Source organism: Homo sapiens, chromosome 17 (genome assembly GCF_000001405.40).
Source record: "Homo sapiens chromosome 17, GRCh38.p14 Primary Assembly".
In the NCBI taxonomy this organism is placed as follows: domain Eukaryota; kingdom Metazoa; phylum Chordata; class Mammalia; order Primates; family Hominidae; genus Homo; species Homo sapiens.
The window spans coordinates 33,508,527-33,528,930 of record NC_000017.11 but is presented as its reverse complement, the minus strand read 5'-3'; the positions used below and the strand labels follow the sequence as shown (position 1 = coordinate 33,528,930).

At 48.8% G+C, this 20,404-nt stretch overlaps 1 protein-coding gene across 1 annotated transcript in view; it reads left to right on the top strand.

Annotated features, from left to right (window-relative positions):
• The window catches only part of ASIC2 (acid sensing ion channel subunit 2), a 1,143,682-nt gene that overhangs the window by 627,838 nt on the left and 495,440 nt on the right, over positions 1-20,404 (top strand). The gene's annotated exons all lie outside the window — the stretch shown is intronic.

Sequence of the window (20,404 nt, the reverse complement as noted above, 5' to 3'; positions counted from 1 at the left end):
GCAGGCAGAAAGGCAGAAGAGACATCCCCAGGGCTATTGATGCCCAGGGAATTCACAAGGTGGCTATTTCTTTCTTAATTAAGACCTTCGTGACGAGTTGCTGGTATTGGACCAATTAATCAGCTCTCTGAAGGCACAGGGGAAAAGCAGCAGCAAATAGGGTGATTCATGCAATGGTTTCTAATAGTAAGAGGGGCTGCAACTTGGCTAGATGTAGATGGAAGGGAGGCCTGAACAGAGCAGCACGGCTAGCCTTGCCTTGTCTTTTGCTTTTTTCTTCCCTTTTTGAGTTGGATGCGGGATGATATATTCTAAAGGCCACCTTTACCCAAGCATTATTCTCCCTGCCAACCAATCCCCTTCACCAGCCGCCATTATCTGTCATCAGAGACAAGACAACAGAAGATAATAGGAGCTTCCAATTCATGCTGCTTCTTTCTTCCATTCTCTGGGGAAATTATGTCGAAAATTTTTTTCATTGACTTATTTATTATAAGTGTAGAAAATGAATTGCTTAAAGGTTTGTGGTGGGGCAGCCCAGTTGCTATCAGGGTTGTTGGTGCTCTGGCTGGAGGGAGAGTTCCAGGGGTCTGGTGGGGTGTTAATTAAATGGATTGGCCTCCCTTTTTCCCCACAGGAAGCCCATGTGATGGCCCCAAGCTTTGTCTCAATTTAAAACAGAAGCAGTACTGCAAGTCCACTGGCTCCCTGCCTCACCTGTCCTATAGGATCACAGCTGGAAACCACACACACACACACACACCTACCACATACACGGGTCAGCCAGGCCCAGGTTTGAATCCTCCCTGCCACCTCCTACGAGGGCGTGGTAATGACACTTACTGGCCCTGACACCTTCTCACCTTGGATGCATTGCTTAATTGTTTGAGCATGACTTCTTCTTGGGGTTACCAAGGCATTGGGTCAAATGAGCATCTGCAATACAGTAGGGCCTCCATGAAGTTCCATCTTCTTCCTCCTCTTCCTACAGAAAATGTCAAAGCGAAAGTGGCCTTAAAGATCATCTAATCCAGTCCTACCCTCTGTCCAATGGGAGTCAGAGGCCTGGATTGGGACAGTGATTTGCTCCAGGTCTCTCAGTGAGAAAGTGGCAGAACCAGGCTCCATGACCCCCTATCCAGTTCTTTCCCCCTCACCACACAGCCTCTCTGTACCCTGATTAACAGATGTACTTCATTTTAGGCACATGTCCCTAAAATGAGTGTGTAAATGCAACTCTGGTAAGCCCACAGATACCATGCATGTGTCAGGGGGTTCTCTTTAAAGGGATATTCCTGATATTCCCATTGTTCACGATGACCCTCTTTGTCAGAGTTTGTTGTTTTTGATTCAGTTTTTCCAAGTATGATTTCCATAAAGTGGGACACACAACACCCCACTCCTGGTCATTTTTCACCCACTGGAGCACTCTCCTCTGCCACCCTGATGTATCTCATTTAATCCTCATGTGGAAGGGAAAGGAACCACGTGTGTTCCTTTCTTCTCAGCCCAGAGTTGATTAGGCTTCGAGCAAGGCAACTACTCCAGAGTTGGTTTCTGGTAAGAGTCACTTGGTTTCAGCTACTTCTGAGAGTCCAGTGTGGAACATAAAGCCTTTAGCTGTTGCTTGGTCTTTGAATGGGTTTAGGGCCCTGATTCTGGCTTTCCTTGAAGACTCAGGTAAGAAATTCTCTTTCCTTAGATCTGCCCACTGGACAGTGCACCCTACTGTCCATCTCCTCCTCCCTGGCACACACATCTGAAGAAGAACAGTATTTCTCCTTCCTTCCTGCACCAGGCATCCACATGCATTCTCTATTGTTAGATCATAGAAGGAAGTAGGCACACAGGGCGCCCAGCCCTCCTGCACAGGTAGCAGATGGGGGCTCCGACCAGAAACATCCTGAGCCAGCCCAGCATCACCCCCGAAATATAAAATGACTAGCTGGAAAATAGAGATAATCTGTCTCAATTATGTGCAAGTTCAGCAAATTAAGGCCCAGCATGAGGAATCTGCCTGTGTTTTGATTAGGGAACAGATGCATTCGACCATGAGGAATTCTTACAAAGCTTCCTGCATGGACATCAGATCTGGCCTTTCCAGGAGACACAGTCACAGAACTGTTTACAGTGGGGAATCTGGGGTTTTCTGGGGAGGGGAGGAGAAGGGGTGGGCAGCCCAGGTCTGGTTGGCGGACTTTCCATCTCTCAGATGCTAGGCAAGCAGGGTCTCATAGCCTGCCCAGAGTACCACCAATGCCCTGGCTGTATAAGGGCCTGATGAGGGCAGCAAAGGCAACCTGGCCCTGATGATGAACAATCCAGCACCCATTCTTAGTGAGTGCCTACTCTGTGTTGGGCATAGGTTTGAGCTAGAACGTATAAGAGAAACAAGTGGAGAGAAAGCCCCAAAGAAAAAGCAGAAGAGCCTGGATCTGTCAGACTCAGCTCCGGGGGACATGCTGGGAGATTGGGAGGTGGACTCCTGGAGCCAGAAAGAACAGTCCTCCTTCCAAAGCAATAGAAGAGAAGGAGTCCTAGGGTGGCTTGATCAGAGTGAGGGAGACATGACTAGTAAGAATTAACCCCATCAGGATCATCAGGATGAATGACGTCCCCAGCACCTGACTGCTTGGGGTTTCATCCTCTGCTGCCCTGCAAGAAGAAAGAAAAGCGTCTGAGAGATCTCACTTAATGGGAATTCTAAGACAGGATGTTGCTCCAGAAAAGGCTGGTTGGGTACCCTCCACTTTCAAATCTACTATTTTTGCTGGATATGTGAAGTCCCTGACACATAAAACAGGGACTTGGTTCCTGTCATCTTAGGGCTCACAGTTTACTTGGGGCTGAATTCCTCACACTTTTTGGTCACCATATTATTCTAGGTGAAGGCTCGCAGAATCAGAATCTTCAGGAAGAGACTAGAGATTTGTATCTGTGAAGTGCAGGAAATTTTGACCTAGGACAAGAAGATACCCACGAGTGGAAAGATAACTTACAGCCTAAAGCAGGACAGGCAGTAAATGCTGTAATAGCTCAGTCAGAAGTGACCACTGATGACTAGTGGGGTCTGGGAAAGCTTCCTGGAGGAGGTGAGTCTTGAGCTGGGCTCCAAAGGATGGATAGGAGTCATAGGCCACCATCAGCCACCACCCATGTTGATACCACAATTCAAGCTCAGTAAGAAAAGCAAAGCTGCTAAGATACATAAATAATAAGGGATTTGTTACAGACACTTGACCTTCTGCTATTGTGGGAGCTGGTCAGTCCGTCTAGGTAATGCAGAGGTATTTGCATTTGATGCTGGATCTCCATGTCTGCAAGGCAGGAGGTAGGGAGGGGAAGATGGAGATAAAGTGAGGGATAACAAGGATAAGCCAGAACCCGTGAGCCCGAGCTGGAATTACACCAGGTTGGACTAAGACCCCTGTCAGTTTTATTGCTCTGACCTTGACGGTGAGGGTTTCCTGCAGAAGATAGGGTCCTTCATCACAGAACAAAGCTCACTCATCTGGCCAGGAGGCAGAGAAGCTGTAGATATTTCCAAGGGGTGGTGGAGTGGTAGCCTCACACAAACAGCCAGCAGCTAAGCGACAAGATATGTGAGCTACAAAGGGGCTGCTTCACTCTGCCCTCCACACCTCCCACATGACTCTCTCGTGTCCGCCCTACTCAGAAAGACCTGGTGGCAGGGAATGCTAGGAAGTGTTGCGCAGTCTAGCCATGTAGGCACACAACTCAGCCAGCATGCCCTCCTGTTCCATGCACATGACTGAGGCTGACTACAGGACTCAGTGAGGGGAAGGCAGCCCAAGTAGAGGGAACGTCAAGAATAAGAGCACAGAGACAGGAATGACACAGGTATCGGTGATGGGGGAACAGAAGAGACTGGGATTCATATTGTAGGTATAATGAAGATAGACTTTGAGGGTCACAAGGACCTTTGGCCTTTCCTGTGCCCTGGAATCACATTCCCAAGGGAGCTGCTGGGCTCCCTAGGCACTGTCTACACTCTCAGCTGGACTCACTTATGACTAAGTTAAATACATCTGGGAGGAAGCCCAGCGCTGTAATGTGCACCTGTAGTCTCTACTACTTGGGAGGCTGAGGCAGGAGGATCACTTGAGGACAAGAGTTCAAGGCCAGTCTGGGCAACATAATGAGACCCTGTCTCTAAATAAACAAACAAATAAATAACACTTGGGAGGCAGGTGAGTGGATGGAGGTGGAGGGACTCAAACTGGGGACCTCATTCTCGTGAGCAGCAGCATGACCCAACTCAGCTAAGCTGCCACACCAAGCCAGCACCTCCCCACCATCCTCGTTAGCCATATGCATATACACCTAACAAGCTGTGACACCCCCTCCCAGTGCACACCTCCGAATGAGTCTACACTTCACCCAGAACATACAGAAACAATACTGGTAAAAGACCACCTTTCTTGTTTTACATAAATTCTCATTTCCATCATACCTGTATGGGGAGAACTCATTCTCTCAACTCCAATCAAAGAGACCAAGCTCCCACTTCTGGTTCACAATTTGCTGGCTATGCAATCTTGGGCAAGTCAGCCAATCTCTCAGAGGCTTCATTTCCTCCTCTGTGAAATGGGAATAATAATACTTACCCTGACGATGTACTGGGAAGGCTAAAAAGGGGATTCTATGCACAGTGTCTCTATATAAGGAACCCAACAACGGTATATCAGCACATTCTGACTGGAGGGCAAAGAATTTGGAGGCAGGGATTAGCAAGAACTGGGCAGAATCTCAGAGGCTGAGCCTGGGGATGGTGAGAGAAACTCCTGAGCCCAGCCAGACTAGGACACCAGCATTGGCCCAGGGGCATGCTGAGTTGCTCCTGAAAGTGAAAGATACCTGCTCAAAGCTGAGAGGAGCTGGAGAAGGTTGAGGCTGACCCCTGAGTGTATGACTGAAAGAGACAAGAAGGCCCAGGGGTCATCCGAAGAGTTGATTTAGAGCAAGATTAGATCAATTTCCTGAGGCTATGCTATGGATGAGAACTGCATGGAGACAGCACTTACATCATGAGAGCAGGAACTTCCCCTCCGTCCCAGCTGTTCTGAGATTGCAGCCCAGTGAAGGGTGAGCTTCCCCTCCCTGGAGCTACATCAGCCGTGAGTAGATGACTAGTTGGTAGAGTGAGCACAGAGGGCCTTTCCAAGCACAGAGACAGAGCACAGAACTGGGTGTCTTCGAGATTATTTATAACAACGGGAAAGTGTCATTTTCTGAGTCAGTGTTCACATGGGAAGGGGAACCTGCCAGAAGCCAAGCCCTGTGCTAGGAGCCAGGAATGCATTATGCTACTTAAACCTCTAAGCAACCCTCTGCAGGAGGTTTTATGATCCTAGCCGGGCACAGTGGTTCACGCCTGCAATCCCAGTACTTTGGGAGTCCCGGTGGGTGGATCACTTGAGGCCAGGAGTTCGAGACTAGCCTGGGCAATATGGTGAAACTCCATCTCTACTATAAATACAAAACAATTAGCTGGATGTGGTGGTAGGTGCCTGTAATTCCAGCTACTCGGGAGGCTGAGGCACGAGAATTGCTTAAATCTGGGAGTAGGAGGTTGCAGTGAGCCCAGATGGTGTCACTGCACTCCAGCCTGGGCAACAGAGTGAGACTCCATCTCAAAAAGTAAATACATAAAAAATAAAGATGGCTTTGTGATCCTCATTTTAGAAATCAAGAAACAAAGTTTCAGAGGGGCTGAGTACTTTACCAAGATGACAAAGACAGTGAGTCCATTGCTGGAATTTGACCTCAGAACTAGGGTCCTTCATCACAGAACGAAGAGAAAAGAGAAGGGTCTTTTCCTTAAGACAGAAGAATCTGCAAAAAGAAGATTGAGGCCCAGCTCAGAAGATGGGTGTCCTGACACTTCTTGTCACCCACTTGCTGTGTAGATCACTTTCCTTCCTGCAACCTGGCTTGATCATGTGCTGATCTCTCTTGGGCTTGCGGTGGGTGGGGTAGGGGGAGCCAGGGGTTGCCCTGGCCTTTGTTCTGGGCAGCCCCAGGACTGCACGGTGCAGAGCGGGAGGCAGTTTTCAGGGATATTGCGATGCCACACGGCTTCAGTGTCTGTGTCTGCACTGGAGGTGGCGCTCTCGTGTGTCTGTTCTTGTGGGAATTCATGGCACCGCAAATAAAACTAACACTTGGATTTTCAAAACACTTGGATTTTCAAAGTTATAATCTAGGGCAGACAAGAATTCTTATTCCACAGATGAGAAAACTGAAAATCTCAATGAAAGAAACTGATAGTCACTGAGTCCTGTGAGGGACTCTTTACTGCGTCCTCTCACTTAGCACCCAAGGCAATTCTGGGAGACGGGAATTACTGTTCCTATTTCACAGATGAGGAAACAGAGGGTCAGAGAAGTTTAGTGAGTTGCTCAAAGTCAAAGAACTAGAAAGGGGCAGGATTCCAACCATGGTCAGAACTACTGCCAAGCCGCTGCCCCTACAAAGACACCTCAGGGCCCCCCACAGGTGGGCCTCAGCCCACAGCAGGAGCCGGTGGGCCTTCAGCTCACTCCTGCAGGGAAGACTCGGTTTCTCAGAGGAGTCCGAATGCTCTGCAAATGTAGGCCTTCAGGAACGGGGGAAATAATTCATTGACCCTTTAAGATTCAATATCATATTAGCAGGAGCTAGAATGGGGAGCAGATAGGACTGGAGGTTTGGGGGGCTGGTGGGGAGCCCACGAGGGGGTACTGAGCAGAGGGCACAAGGCTGCCTGGTAGGGACAGCAGTGACAGGAAGGAGTGGGGGGACTGACAAAGAAGTGCCATGGGTCAGAATTTTGCCATCCCTGACCCTTCCTGACAGGATGCTCCTCTATGCAGCCCCGGAACCCACCCAGCCAGCTGGCTTTGCTCAGCTATCCCATAGGCCAGGCAGCGGCTGCCCAGCAGAGGGCCCCCTAGCCCTGGCTGAACCACACTGCCCGCAGTTGCCAGAGGGCCTCCCTGCCCGCCTAGGTGCCAGGTGATGGGGGAAGGGGCCTGCCTGCCATGCACACCCAGAGGAACAGCCTGGGTCCCCTCTTGTCAGGTGTCTTCAGAGGCCCCACATCAGGGTTCTGAGGAGCGGGGATGAGGTTTTGCAAGGTATGGCCTTTGAGGGTAGATGATGACCGTGGGGCATGAATGCTGGGCTCCAGTCCTAGCAGTGCCATCAGGTTACGTGACTTGAGCAATTCCTTCCCCTCCCAGAACTCAAATCCACCCGCACTGTAGACTAGAAGATTCTCAACAGTCCCTCCAGCTCTGCCAGTCGGATCCAACATCTTCCTTGCCCATCTCTGCCAGACTCTCAGCAGGCTCTCACGGGACCCCAGCTGGGCTGTGCACCCTGCTCTGTGTACCCACTGGGAGAGACTGACTCCTTGGTCATGTGGCTACTTCTGTCTCCAGGACTTCGGGGGCGTTGGCCGCATCAGAACTGGGCCATCCCTGCCCTACAGTCACCATGGCTGCTGTACCTCTTGTGTCCCTGTGTGCCACACTCAGAGTGAATAACTGTCAGCAAGGCTGGCCCCGAGTGGCAGGCGCATTATCCAGGGGCCCTCTTTACCTCCCACCTCCCCCTGCAGAGCCAAATAATTCATTCAATTTCAGCTAATTTGCATCCTTCAAAAGATACCCCTTGGCCGACGACAGTGTTGAGCCCCTGCTTACCCAGCTCCAGAGGCCTTTATTTGCTACTTCTCCCGCAAGAGGCAAAGTGCTGTGTGGACCCAGCCCAGCCTGAGTCCCAAGTCCCGAGACCTAATCTGCCAGTTCGCCACGAGACTGCCTTGAGGTTATTGAACCTTGTCTGTAGAATTCCTGCCTGCCTGTTATGAAATAATAATAATAATTATTATTATTCAGACTCCTGGCTGCCATAAGCCAGCAATGCCAACATCAGTACCTTCTCTTCGAAGTTTTTGCTTTTCCAAAGTAGTCCAACATGATTCCAGCACCCACACACCCAGGCAGGTGAGGCAAGCATCCCCTAGCCTGCTGGTTCCACAGGCTTAACCCCAGGGCCTGAATGTCAATTTCAAAATACCCTTTGTCATTTCCCCCTGGGGAAGAGGCAGATTCCCAGAAACAGAACTCCCTGCTATCTCAGAACTCCAAGACAGGAACACAGGTGAGGCCCAGGGATACATTTGCTGTGAAGCAAATAAAGTTTTAAGCTTTGGGGCCGCTCACTTGCTCCTCCACCCTTCATAGCCCCAAGAGGGGCCCTGTCCGTGGGTAAGGGGATCAGCCAGACTGTGGGCTCACTGCCGCCCTCTCGTGGTCTCTCTCCAAACTGTCCCTCCTGAGGCTCCTTGTGTGCTGAACATTGCTGGGCACCAAATTAATACGACTGTACTGGACTGGGTGATTAATCCCAGGTGGCCATTCACCAAACTATCCTTCCAGCTCCTCGTGTGTTGGACATAGTTAGGCATACTAATTAATACAACCTCCCAGTTAACCACTGGACCAGGTATTCCTCTGAGTAAATGCTAGAGCATGGTGTAGCTGTGACAAACACTGGCCAAAGAGCGTATGTTCTGCAGGTGCAGACACAAGAATGAATTCGCGAGTGATTTTCATGCTTCCCCACTGACCCTGTCTTTCTGTCCCGTATCCTTGTTCATTCCTTTCTGCCTGGACAGTGTTTCTTCAAGTAGAACAGCTATACTTCTAATCACAACAGGATTATTACCCTGTGACTACAATGCATTTATTAATGACCCTCCCCCAAATCTAACAGCCAAAGAGGCCCCTGGGGAGGGGCCACAATAAGCCAGAATTCTCGTTGCAAAGATACCCTCTGCTCATAATCAGCTCTTGGATGGTAGGAATAGCAAGGAATGGCAATAATTAACACATGAATGTTTAACAGCATTTGTTTCTCTGATTCCTGGGCTGTACTGAACAGTCATAAAAATTGTTTTCTCTCTGAAGCATAAAAAATGTTCTGAAATCACCTGGTGCATTCACAGATGTGCTGATTAACTGTGGCCTGGAATGTCACAGTGACCACGACCCAGGCTTTGCTCTTGGTCAGTTGAAGTTCCTGGCTCACTCTCGGTTACAGCAACCTGCGTGGGTGGCCTGAAGTGAGGTCAAGTTTGACAGACGGTCTAGCAGTGCCTGGGCACAGAGATTATTCCCACTCTCCTTAAAAAGACCTTCCTTAAGGAGGCCTCCTCCTCCTCCCTAAGGAAAGTGCTAAATCCAGTCCTTTCCAAGCCCAGTGGTGGTGATTAAGCTGCCTACCTGCTCAAAATGCAGCAGTTTTTCCATGACAGTGAGCCGAGACCCACTTGTGCGCTGATTAACATGGAGACTCCTGGACTCTACCCAGAGAGTCTGATCCCATGAACCTGGAAAGTGGCATAGAAATCCAGATTTGAATAAAGCATCCCAGATGGTTCAGGTGCATGTGTTTGCAAAGCCTAGGTAGAGAAATACGGGGGTCATAGCTCGTCAAATGTCAGAGCTCAAAAGCTGCCCCACAAGCCCGAGGCCAACTGTGTTTAAGGGGGTGCTCAGTGGAAAGAGAGGAAAGGAGAAGGGTAACAAGCTGGGCGGCTTCCAGCATTCCTCCCTCACTTCCACCAGAGCCGCTCTGCTTCTATTTGTATAACGGAAGGGCCAAGAGCAAGGCCTTATGGCCTCCCTCCATGAGTTCAAGTCACTTACAAGCCGTGTGACCTTGGGTAAGCTACTTCACCTCTCTGTGCTGTGGCTGCCTCCTCTGTAAAATGGGATGATGATTAAAAAGAGTAGTTATCGGCCCGGCGCGGTGGCTCACGCCTGTAATCCCAGCACTTTGGGAGGCCGAGGCGGGCGGATCACGAGGTCAGGAGATCGAGACCATCCTGGCCAACATGGTGAAACCCCGTCTCTACTGAAAATACAAAAAATTAGCTGGACGCAGTGGCGGGCGCCTGTAGTCCCAGCTACTCGGGAGGCTGAGGCAGGAGAATGGCGTGAACCCGGAAGGCGGAGCTTGCAGTGAGCCGAGATCACGCCACTGTACTCCAGCCTGGGTGACAGAGCGAGACTCCATCTCAAAAAAAAAAAAGAGTAGTTATCTCACAGGGCCACTGTGGGATTAAATCAGTTAATGTGTCCAAAGCATTTAAGAACAGCTTTAGGAACACACTAAGCATTTATTCTTGCATATTAGCTTTCATAATATTATCTCATATATTGTAATGAGGCAGTAACATTGTATTCACTTTATTTGTTGTAAGGTGTAATTTGGAAAATGAAGGTGCTATTGTTTTTTAAAAGCCTCATAAGTAGTGTATCAGTCCAACCAATTCATTTTATGGATGGGTAAACTGAGGCCCCAGGGAGAGAACAGCTGGTGGAGGCCACACGGCAAATGGAAGCAGGAAAGGAACCCACCCAGATCTGATGGAGCTTAGTGCTCATGGTGCCCCAGCCCACTGCACCTGCTGCCTCCCTCAGGAAGTCAGCTCCAGCTGATGGCAAGTTTGGCCTTGCCCCCTGCCACATCATGCAGGGGCTGGGACTCCACCAACCTTAGCCTTTTTCAGAGCCCACGTGGGCAGCATTTCTCAGTCTCTCCTTCGCCCGCACTTCCATTGGCTTCAAACGCCATGGCTATCAAAAATAAGCTCACATCCTGGAGGTATCTGTTTCTAGAGCTTACTCTTAGGTTTCAATTTCCAAATTTCTACAGAGTTCAGGCGTTATTGAGGAGCTCAGGACTGATAGCCAAGAGGACATTTTCTATTAGCCCTTCTCCAAAAAAATCAAAAAGAGGCCAGGATGACACTCATCTCTTGCACTGTTCCTGCACATCAGAGGGGCAAATAGATATTTGTGTTCAAGAGGATGATGATCAGAGGCTGGGATCAGGACTGGGTGCCCTCTCTGGACTTCCAGGCCAGCTCCCAGCATGCAGCCTGCGGTCGTTACACTCCAACACATGGTTCTTCCTCCTTGTGTAGTTCCCACCCACATTGCAACAGGCTTGGTCTAGGCGACCTATGAAGGAAGTGATTATTATGTATTTTATTTTATTTTTTTATTATGCTTTAAGTTTTAGGGTACATGTGCACAACGTGCAGGTTTGTTACATATGTATACATGTGCCATGTTGGTGTGCTGCACCCATTAACTCGTCATTTAACATTTGGTATATCTCCTAATGCTATCCCTCCCCCCTCCCCCAACCCCACAACAGGCCCCGGTGTGTGATGTTCCCCTTCCTGTATTATGCATTTTAAAAGACTGTGGCCTCTGGCTTGAGTGCTCTCTCACTTGTGTGCATTGACCCTCAGAGTAGATTCTCCAACCCCAGTTAAGTCTTCAAATACTGCAGCCCCCAGCTGGCATCTTGACTGCAACCTCACAAGAGACCTCGGCTAGAATCACTCCGCTAGGCTACTCCCAACTCCTGACCCACAGAAACCATTTGTTATAAATTGCTAAGGTGTAGGGTAATTTAATACGCAGCAAAAGGCCAGATGCCATGGCTCGCGCCTGTAATCCCAGCACTTTGGGAGGCCGAGGTGGGTCGATCACTTGAGGTCAGGAGTTTGAGACCAGCCTGGCCAACATGGTGAAACTCCATCTCTACTAAACATACAAAAACTAGCCAGGCATGGTGGTGCATGCCTGTAATCCCAGCTACGCAGGAGGCTGAGGCAGGAGAATCACTTGAACCTGGGAGACAGAGATTGCAGTGAGCTGAGATCGCGCCACTGCACTCCAGCCTGGGCAACAGAACGAGACTCTGTCTCAAAATAATAATAATAATATGCAGCAAAAGGTATAACTAAGATAGAGGTTATGAGGGTTTGAGAACCATTTCCCAAAGCAAAGAAACAACATCTAGAAGAAAAGAGAGGCTTCGTTAACTACCAGGGACCCTGAAAAGAAGGGATAAGATGTCCTCAGACCCATGCGGCACCGATACATTCTGATGTGTGAGGGTTTTGACAAAGGAGCCAGAGATGAAAATCTGGATCCTGCCCTAGGGCAGTCCATTGTCTATTGAAAAAGACAGACAGGAAACAGGAAATCAAACCCAGTGTAATAAGAGCACAACACCTAGCCCAGGCATGGGAGGGAGGAGGGTGGTCAGGCAAAGTGTCCCAGAGACAGGGACTCCTGATCCATTTACAGGCACTGAGTACTAAGCCAGGCACCTCCAAGGAGACAAAATAGATAAAGCCAAATCCCTGATGTCAGCGAGCTCACATCAGTTCCCAACACCAGTTGTTCCGTTGTACCCAACACCAGTTGCACACTAGACTTACCTGGAAGTGTTAATAGCACTAATAAAATTCCCAATGTCCAGGGTCCACTCCAGACCAATGAAATCAAAACTTCTGCCTGAATATCGGCATTTTCAAGTCTTTCTAGGAGAATCTAATGTGTAGTTAGGTTGAGTGCCATTACTGTAACTGAAGGAGCAACAACAGCATCACCACCCCTCCTCCATACACACACACACACACACACACTCACACTCACAAACACACTTACAAACACACATTCACACTCACACTCACACACACACACACATACAAACACACACACTCATACGCTGTGATTAATAACTTTGGTAATTTCTATGTGAGTGATGCAAACTGCACGTTCTGGTTGTGTGTGAAGAAGGAAGGCAATGTGGGAGTGGTGGTGGCCTCGGGAGTATCTTTCAGCACATCTCTGCAGTTCTGGGCTCCACCCAGCTGGACACTGCGCTCTGCGTTCTTGTTTTGTTTTGTTTTGTTTTGTTTTGTTTTGTTTTGTTTTGTTTTGTTTTGGAGACAGAATCTTGCTCTGTCGCCCAGGCTGGAGTGCAGTGTCAGGATCTTGGCTCACTGCAGCCTCAACCTCTCCAACTCAAGCTACCCTCCTACTTCAGCCATCCCCCGCCCCAAGTAGCTGGGACTACAGGCGCACACCACCACGCCCAGCTAATTTTTGTATTTTTTTTTAGAGACCGGGTTTTGCCATGTTGCCCAGGCTGGTCTCAAACTTCTGAGGTCAAGCAATCCATCCACCTCAGCCTCCCAAAGTGCCAGGATTACAGGCGTGAGCCACCGCACCCGGCCTCTGCATTCTTCAGAACAGGACGGAGGTCAGGACAGGAATAGCAAGCCAAGTCCGAGAGTGGGCATCTGGGACTATTGAAGCCTCAGGATTGGTCCTAGGAGCCACGGGCAGGGCTAAGCTTGCAGCTAAGGATCCAGTAGCCCCAGCCATGCGGGAAGGAAGCAGAAGCCGTGGGTCAGACAAGGCCTGGAAGAGGATGAGTAGCCTTAAAAATAAATAGAAGGGAGGAGAGAGGCACTCAAAGGCACTGGACACTCTGCTAACACTTCACATTCCGTGTCTTGAGTTATTCCTACTAGAACACGTGAGTATTCTCATCTCCATTTTACAGAGAAGAAAACAGGGCTGAGAGAGGTTCAACCCATGGGCCTGAAATACCCATAGGCCATGGAGTGAGTTTGGTGCCAGAGCTGTGCTGAATAAACCAGGCTGTGAATGTCCATGGCTGCCTCAGGGTCTACTTCTGAGGCCCACCTGAGCGCCCCATAGGAAGATCCAGAGCCAGCCAAGGCTGGTTGGGAGAGACTAGGCAGGGCTGGAGTGTATGGGTATGTCCTGGGAATCTAGAGGGGTTTGGGACAGAATGTGCTCTCCTCCTCCATCCCCTCCCAACCCCAGAGCTTCAGGAACAGCGACGGAGCAATTCCTCTGCCCTGTGCACTTCCCTCCTTGCCCCATCCACCAAGTGCCAGCTAGGCAGCTATAATTCATGATGGATCCATTCATTCTTTTACTCCTTTATTCACTAAATACTTACTGGCACCTATGACAGGCTGGGCACATATCCGTGGACACAGTACAAAAGAAAGCATGACTTCTCAGGCTGTGGTGCTGAGGGCTGGCACGGAGTTTGGCAGGAGGTGAGAAAGAACATCTGGGAGAAAGGACCGAGGTCCTGCTTCCAGGGGATAACACGGGATGACTCCTCAAGGCCCAGCAGCTTCTCTATGGCCACACAGCCAAGGGGCCGAGAAAGTCAGTGATTTAGAGAGTGAGCAAAGCCATGAATCAGGGAAGAAGGTGGAGTAGCCCATGAGGTAGAGGACAGACAAGGCTGCCTTTCCAAGACCACGTGATCTTTTTAAACTTTAGAATCCTAGTTCCTAGCAGCACGGTCATAAAAGTCCTTAAATGATCTATTGTAATGGTATGGGATCCCATTCCAGAAAAAGATCCGTAATTCTTGGTCACTGGGGAAATGCCCTGGAAAGATCAATAAGGGCAGGACAGAAGTCCAAACAGGTGGCTCTGAAATGCTCGGAATGTAGGAGTCCATTTGTCTTGTTGGCCTCCTGTCCAAAAACAATGCTTTCCCTCTACAATCCCCTCCCCTTTGGCCTGTTCCTAATTCCTCCCACATTCCCCCCAAATTTCTCAATTTTACCAGTTAGGAAGGCAAGGACCGCGATGAGGTTGAGGGGGGTGTGGAAGAGAGGATGGGGAGATGGAGGAAGGAGAGGATCAGCAAGGCAGGGCCATGAACGTGTGCTTCTCAGTGGTGCATTTCATTTCAGTTCATTGGGGCCTTGCTGTGTCATGCACAGCTAAGTCCCTTGAAATCCAGGGCCTCAGTTCTCTCATCTGAAAATTCTGAGTCAGGAGTGGCAGGTGGTCAAGATTAGGCTAGAGCATGCAGCATGAAGGCAAAGGTTCAGAGCCAGAGAAACCTGTGTTTGCATCCAGTTCCCAGCTGTGTACCTGAGAAAACTGCCTACAGCTGGGAATTGTCTTCCATCCCTGCCAAATGGGAGTGATGTCTACCCACGAGGTACACGAGGTTCCATGTGTCATGCCCCCAGCAGTGTGTCTGGCACAGCTGGTGCTCATATTCATTGATCCGATTATGTGAGGGCAGTGTTGGTGCCCTCCCTACACCTATGATGGCGTCTAAGGTCACCCCTGAGCTGGGGGCTGGAAGGGGCACAGGTCTGTGCCTAACAGAAGGCAGCCTCCAAACAGCCCTGAGCAGATGTGACTTCCAGCTACAGATGGGAGTGAGCCTTCTGGGAAGGTGCCGCCTTTGAACCTGGGCAAGGACAGGAGCCAAGTGTAGGGGACAGAGCAGGAAGCAGTCCCCTTGGTCACAGCCTGAGTGGCAGGAAGGAGAACAGACACTAAACTGAGGACGTCATGGGGTTTTGTTCCCCAACTTCCTCTCACCTCTTACTGCCCCAAATCAGTGAAGACAGGACAAAAATGCCCAACCTAGCTGGCACCAGACAGAAGTTGGGAAGTTGGCTTTAATTGCTTGTCTCTTCTTTGGAGCCAACTCCTCTTCATTCTGTCTCCAATGGCCCCAAAACTCTTAACTACTTTGAAATTAAGAGATACTTTCCTAAGTAATTCTTGGCTCAAAGAAGAAATAAAAACAGAAGTTATGCATTATCTAGAAAGTAATGAAAAGGAGAATACTCCACATCAAAGCCTATGGGACACAGCTAAAGCTGTGTTCAGAGGACATTTTATAGCACTCAATGCCTCTATTATTTCTTGTGAAAAGCTGAAAATAATTGCACTAAGTAGTCAACCTAAGAAATTAGATAAAGAATCATAAAATAAATGCAAAACAACACAGGAGAGTGATTTAATGAAAATAAAAGCTAAAATTAGTGCAATTGAGAACAACAGAAGTATTCTACTCTTACTCTTATTAGTTTCTCTTCTTCCTACAGCAGTCCTGCCATGCCAGCACCCTCATCATTTATACCCATCCCCAAGAATCCCATGCTAAAATTTAGCTTGAAAATTCCGTTACTTTGTAGAATGATCAATAAAACTATTTCGTATAATGCAAAGAGCACAAGACTGGACAACAGGATACATGGTCCAGGAGCCAAGTTCACCATGTTCACCTTGGCCAAGTCACTTCCCTTCCCTGGCCTTCAGGTTTCCAGTTTGCACAGAGTCTGGGGCTACCAGCTGGCACTGACAGTTTGTCAGCTGAACTCCATTCATGGCCAAAACTCCTCAGAAGCAAGAGGTCACCCTCCCATGGGTAAATATTGACAGGCCTTTTGCTGGAGATGATGGTGCTGGTGAGTGATGGGAGCTATTCCAGGGGTCTGCACCATAAGAGGTTGGCATGGGAGGCAGTGCCAAGTTAGAAGGATAAACCCAGAAACTGAAGGCAGCCTGGAGCAGCTTCAAGCTTGGGCCTAGCTAGAGTAAGCAGGAGTGTAGACGTGATGGTACTAGGGTCTTTTCCCTGGTCTCTTTTTAAATCTGGTGGATTCACTCCCTTCTGAGACTCATTCATCTTCTTATTCTCCTTTTATTTTTCTAAATGCTCATCTCTCTTCACACTATAACTCTGCAGGCTCAGTACCCAGTGGGAGCAATAATAATAAGTGGAAAGAAGTGTTCTCCTCTCAGTCTTAAGTTTCTAAGATCAAGGACAACTGATGCTAAGGGACAGGCTGCCTACAGCTATGACCAACTAGCCTTGGAACCTGGTCCATGGAGAAGCTTCTGTCCCTCCTTTCAAGTCAAAATAATGATGACTCATGTTTTGCCAATTCTTCCAGGCTCTAGCCTCTGGAGGTGACTTTTTAGGAAATCTTGAGGAGCACTGAAAGATGCTTCTCTTTCAGCATAGATAGTGACTGCAGAGTTTCACCCTTATCTTGGTCAGACTGAGCTCCTGGAACCATTAAGACCTCCCTTTGGAGGACTGTTTGAAGAAAAGTGATATGATTTTTTCCATAACCTCACTACAATACTACCTACTATTAAGCTGAATTTTCCCAAACTCCTCCTTTTACACAGGACGCTGAAACCCAGAAATAAAAATAAGATGTGCTTTCCCCTTATTGCACTGACAAGGGCTGGGCAGCCCTAGGTGAGGGTATCTAAGAGCCCTCTTGACCTCTGTGGTTTGCATTACCACATGAGCTGCTTCCTGGAAGCCCCAGGCTTGGTTCTTTTGGTGACTGTGGGTTTCGTGGCAAGTGAGGATGCCTCCAAACCTACTATATACAGAGCACCCACATCCTGCCTTGTTAGGGACTTGGGTCTTTATCCTAAGTGTTGAAAAGGTTTTAAATACAGGCTGCCATGATCAGATTTGGGTTTTTCAAAGACCATGCTGGCTTGTGCAATGGGATTGGAGGGTAGTAGAGTGAGTATGAATAAGGGGACCCCAAGTTCTCTGGCTATGGCAGGAGTCCAGGCCAGAGGCAGCAATGGCCTTGACTTGGATGTGGGCAGTGAGACAGGGAGGAAGTGGGCACCTTCGAAAAGGTGGAATCACCAAAGGTTGGTTTTGATGGGCTTTAGAGTATGAGTGAAAGGGAGAAATAGAAGATGACTCCCCATTTTCTGGCTAGGGCAACTGGGTGGTGCCCAGTCATTGAAATAAAGAACTAGGGAAAAGGAGCAAGAATAGAGGTAGGGGAAGTGATGATGAGTCTAGATGGGACATGCTGAGTTGGAGGTGGCAGCCATTATCCAAAGGAGTTTCCAAGAACATGGGTGTGTGTCTAAAGCCAAAAGAGACTGAGCAGAAGACAGAAATAAAAGCAGCATCCAGGAAAGGAACTACCCTCTATTGGAGAGTCACTGCTTGTCAGTTTGGTGTGTCCTCATCCTGCTTTTGTATGGTGACTGAACACTCTGGGTATGGCCGATGAACCAAGAATTAGGGTGACAGCCACAGAGTCTTACAGCCATACAGCTGGAGGGGGCATGGATGGGGTGGGTGGGGTGGGCACCCGTCTGTGAAAAGGCTCAGCATCTCCAAAAGGGTGCAGTAGCTTGAAAAAGCATGTTCGCTACACTAATATAAATGTACATGTGAAAATCTGTAATAATTGCTGTGTGCTGTAATACAGTCATCTAAGCAAGTGTGGGGATGCAGACAACAGACTCTACGGCCTTACTGCGGAGGGTGCATGACCCCCAGGAGGAGCTGGGTCTCTGTCTCAGAGAGCAGGGTGACATGTTCATGTCTACGGGCAGAGAATGTGGGTTCACAAGGCCTCGTGCAGGGGTTGCACTCTCAGATGCTTCTACAAGCTGGTGACATGAATGAGCCCAGGGTACTGGGTGGTAATGGTGGGAACTGGCAGTGGCCACCAGTCCAAAGGAACAATGCCAGTGTGTGCTCCCAGTGTGAATGGGGGCTCGGTGTGACTAAGCCCTTTGTTTCTTTTTTTTAAAAAATTTAATGTTTAGTTTTATTTTGAGACAAGATCTCACTCTATTGCCCAGGCTGGAGTGCAGTGGCACCATCACAACTCACTGCAGACTCGACCTCCTGGGCTCAGGCAATCCTCCCACCCATTAGTTGGGTGTGGCATGCACCACCACACCCAACTAATTCTGTTTAGTTTTTGTAGAGATGGGGTCTCACTATACTGGCCTCAAACTCCTATTCTCAAGCCATCCTCCCACCCTTAGCATCCCCAAGTGCTGGGATTACAGGCATGAGCCACCATGCCAGGCTACCCTCTGCTTTTTCAAGAAAACTTAGGAATCCAGAATTGTATGTGAATTCTTCTGATTTTTAAATGTTGGGTCACTTTAAAAAAATGGGTAATAATTAGAAAGATGAATCTGTCTGGGAACTAAATGAGTCTCATCCACAGGTCAGATTTAGCTCACAGGTCATCAGTTAGAGATCTCTGCTCTGGCCCAACCCACCTGCTGTACAGATACAAGAACTCAGGTTCTGAGACAGGGCTGGAAAACTCCAGGTCACACAGTGAGTTACAGGCAAAGTCCAGACTCACATGCAGATAGATGCTCACTTCACTGCTCTGTGCTACCCCACAGCTACTACCTCCCTCTGGAGGGCTATTTAAAGAGAAGGGAACAGAATTTTTCCATAACCCCACTACAGTACTATCTACTCTTAAGCTGAATTTTCCCAAACTCTTCTTTTTACACAGTAGGACTCTGAAATCCAGAAATTAAAACAAGATGTGCTTTCTCCCCTATTGTAATGGCAAGGCTAGGGCAGAACCCAGGCCTCCTGGCTCCCAGTCTAGCCTTGCTTTCACCAGTTCCTTAAGTACTCAAAGCACTCCCTGGGCAAGGGCTATATTCAGCTTTCAGTGAATTGCTGAAATATTCTTTTCCTAAGCATATCCAACAATCCAAATTTTCATCCCCAGGACCAGCCCCATAGGCTACATCACCTTAAGTCTTCTCTCTGCGGGGCCTGACTTGCCGGCCTGGCAGGTTGCTTCTCTTCTCTGATGAATGATAAACACAACTGCAGCAGGCACGCAGCCCCGCCAGCCAGTTATGATTTGTCTGCTAACTGGAGCCTGGGCAAGGCTGGCATGATGCCGTCTGTCAGTCTGTTAGCGAGCAGTGTGGGAGGGAAGAGCATAGAACACAGAGTTCAGGAAACCAGACTTGGGATTGCGGCAGATGAGCCGATTGGCCTTGAGGAAGAGGTTAAGCTCCCTAAGCCTCACTTGACTCATCTGTGAAGTGGACATTATGAAGCCTGCCCCATAGGTTTTGCCAATGTCCATAGTCTAAAAGGGGGTTAGAGCCTAAAGGGGGTGAAATCTGAGGCCTTGGCTTATAACCTTTAAATGGTCCCCATTACCTACATGCTAAAGTCCAAAGTCAGTTCTAGGCAGGTGTGATCTGACCCCAGCATCCTGTCCCGCCCTCCCTCCGTCCTACCTTCCTCCCCTCTCTTGATAGAAACAACTGACATTTACCAGACACTTACCCTGTGCCAGATGCTGTGCTAAGCACTTTACATTCATTAACTCACATCTTTCTCCCAGCATTCCTATGGGAGGCACTATTATAACTTAACAAAAACCAGCTTGGGAAGCTTAAGGAGCTGGCCCAAAGATCCCCAAACGTGAGTAAAGGATTGAGATTGTAACCAACTCCAGCTCTGGAGGTTGGCTCTGACAGTTTGTCAACTGAACTCCATTCAGGTCCAAAACTCCTCAGAAGTAAGAGGTCACCCTTCCATGGGTAAATATTGACAGGGCTTTTTCTGGAGATGATGGTGCTGGTGAGTGATGGGAGCTATTCCAGGGGTCTGCATCATAGGAGGTTTGCATGGGAGACAGTGCCAGGTTGGAAGGATAAACCCAGAAACTGAAGGCAGCCTGGAGCAGCTTCAAGCTTGAGCAAACCTAGTAAATGCTCTTCAAGCTCCTACCTGCCACATCATTCCACTTTTAGGTGTGCTGTGTACCCCACCTGACTTCTCAGGAATGCCTTTCTCAAATGTACTCTCCTGCCTTTACCCTTTTGCTTAAATGTTTCCACTGCATGGAAAGCACTATGAGGTAAACTCTTGCTTGAGGTCC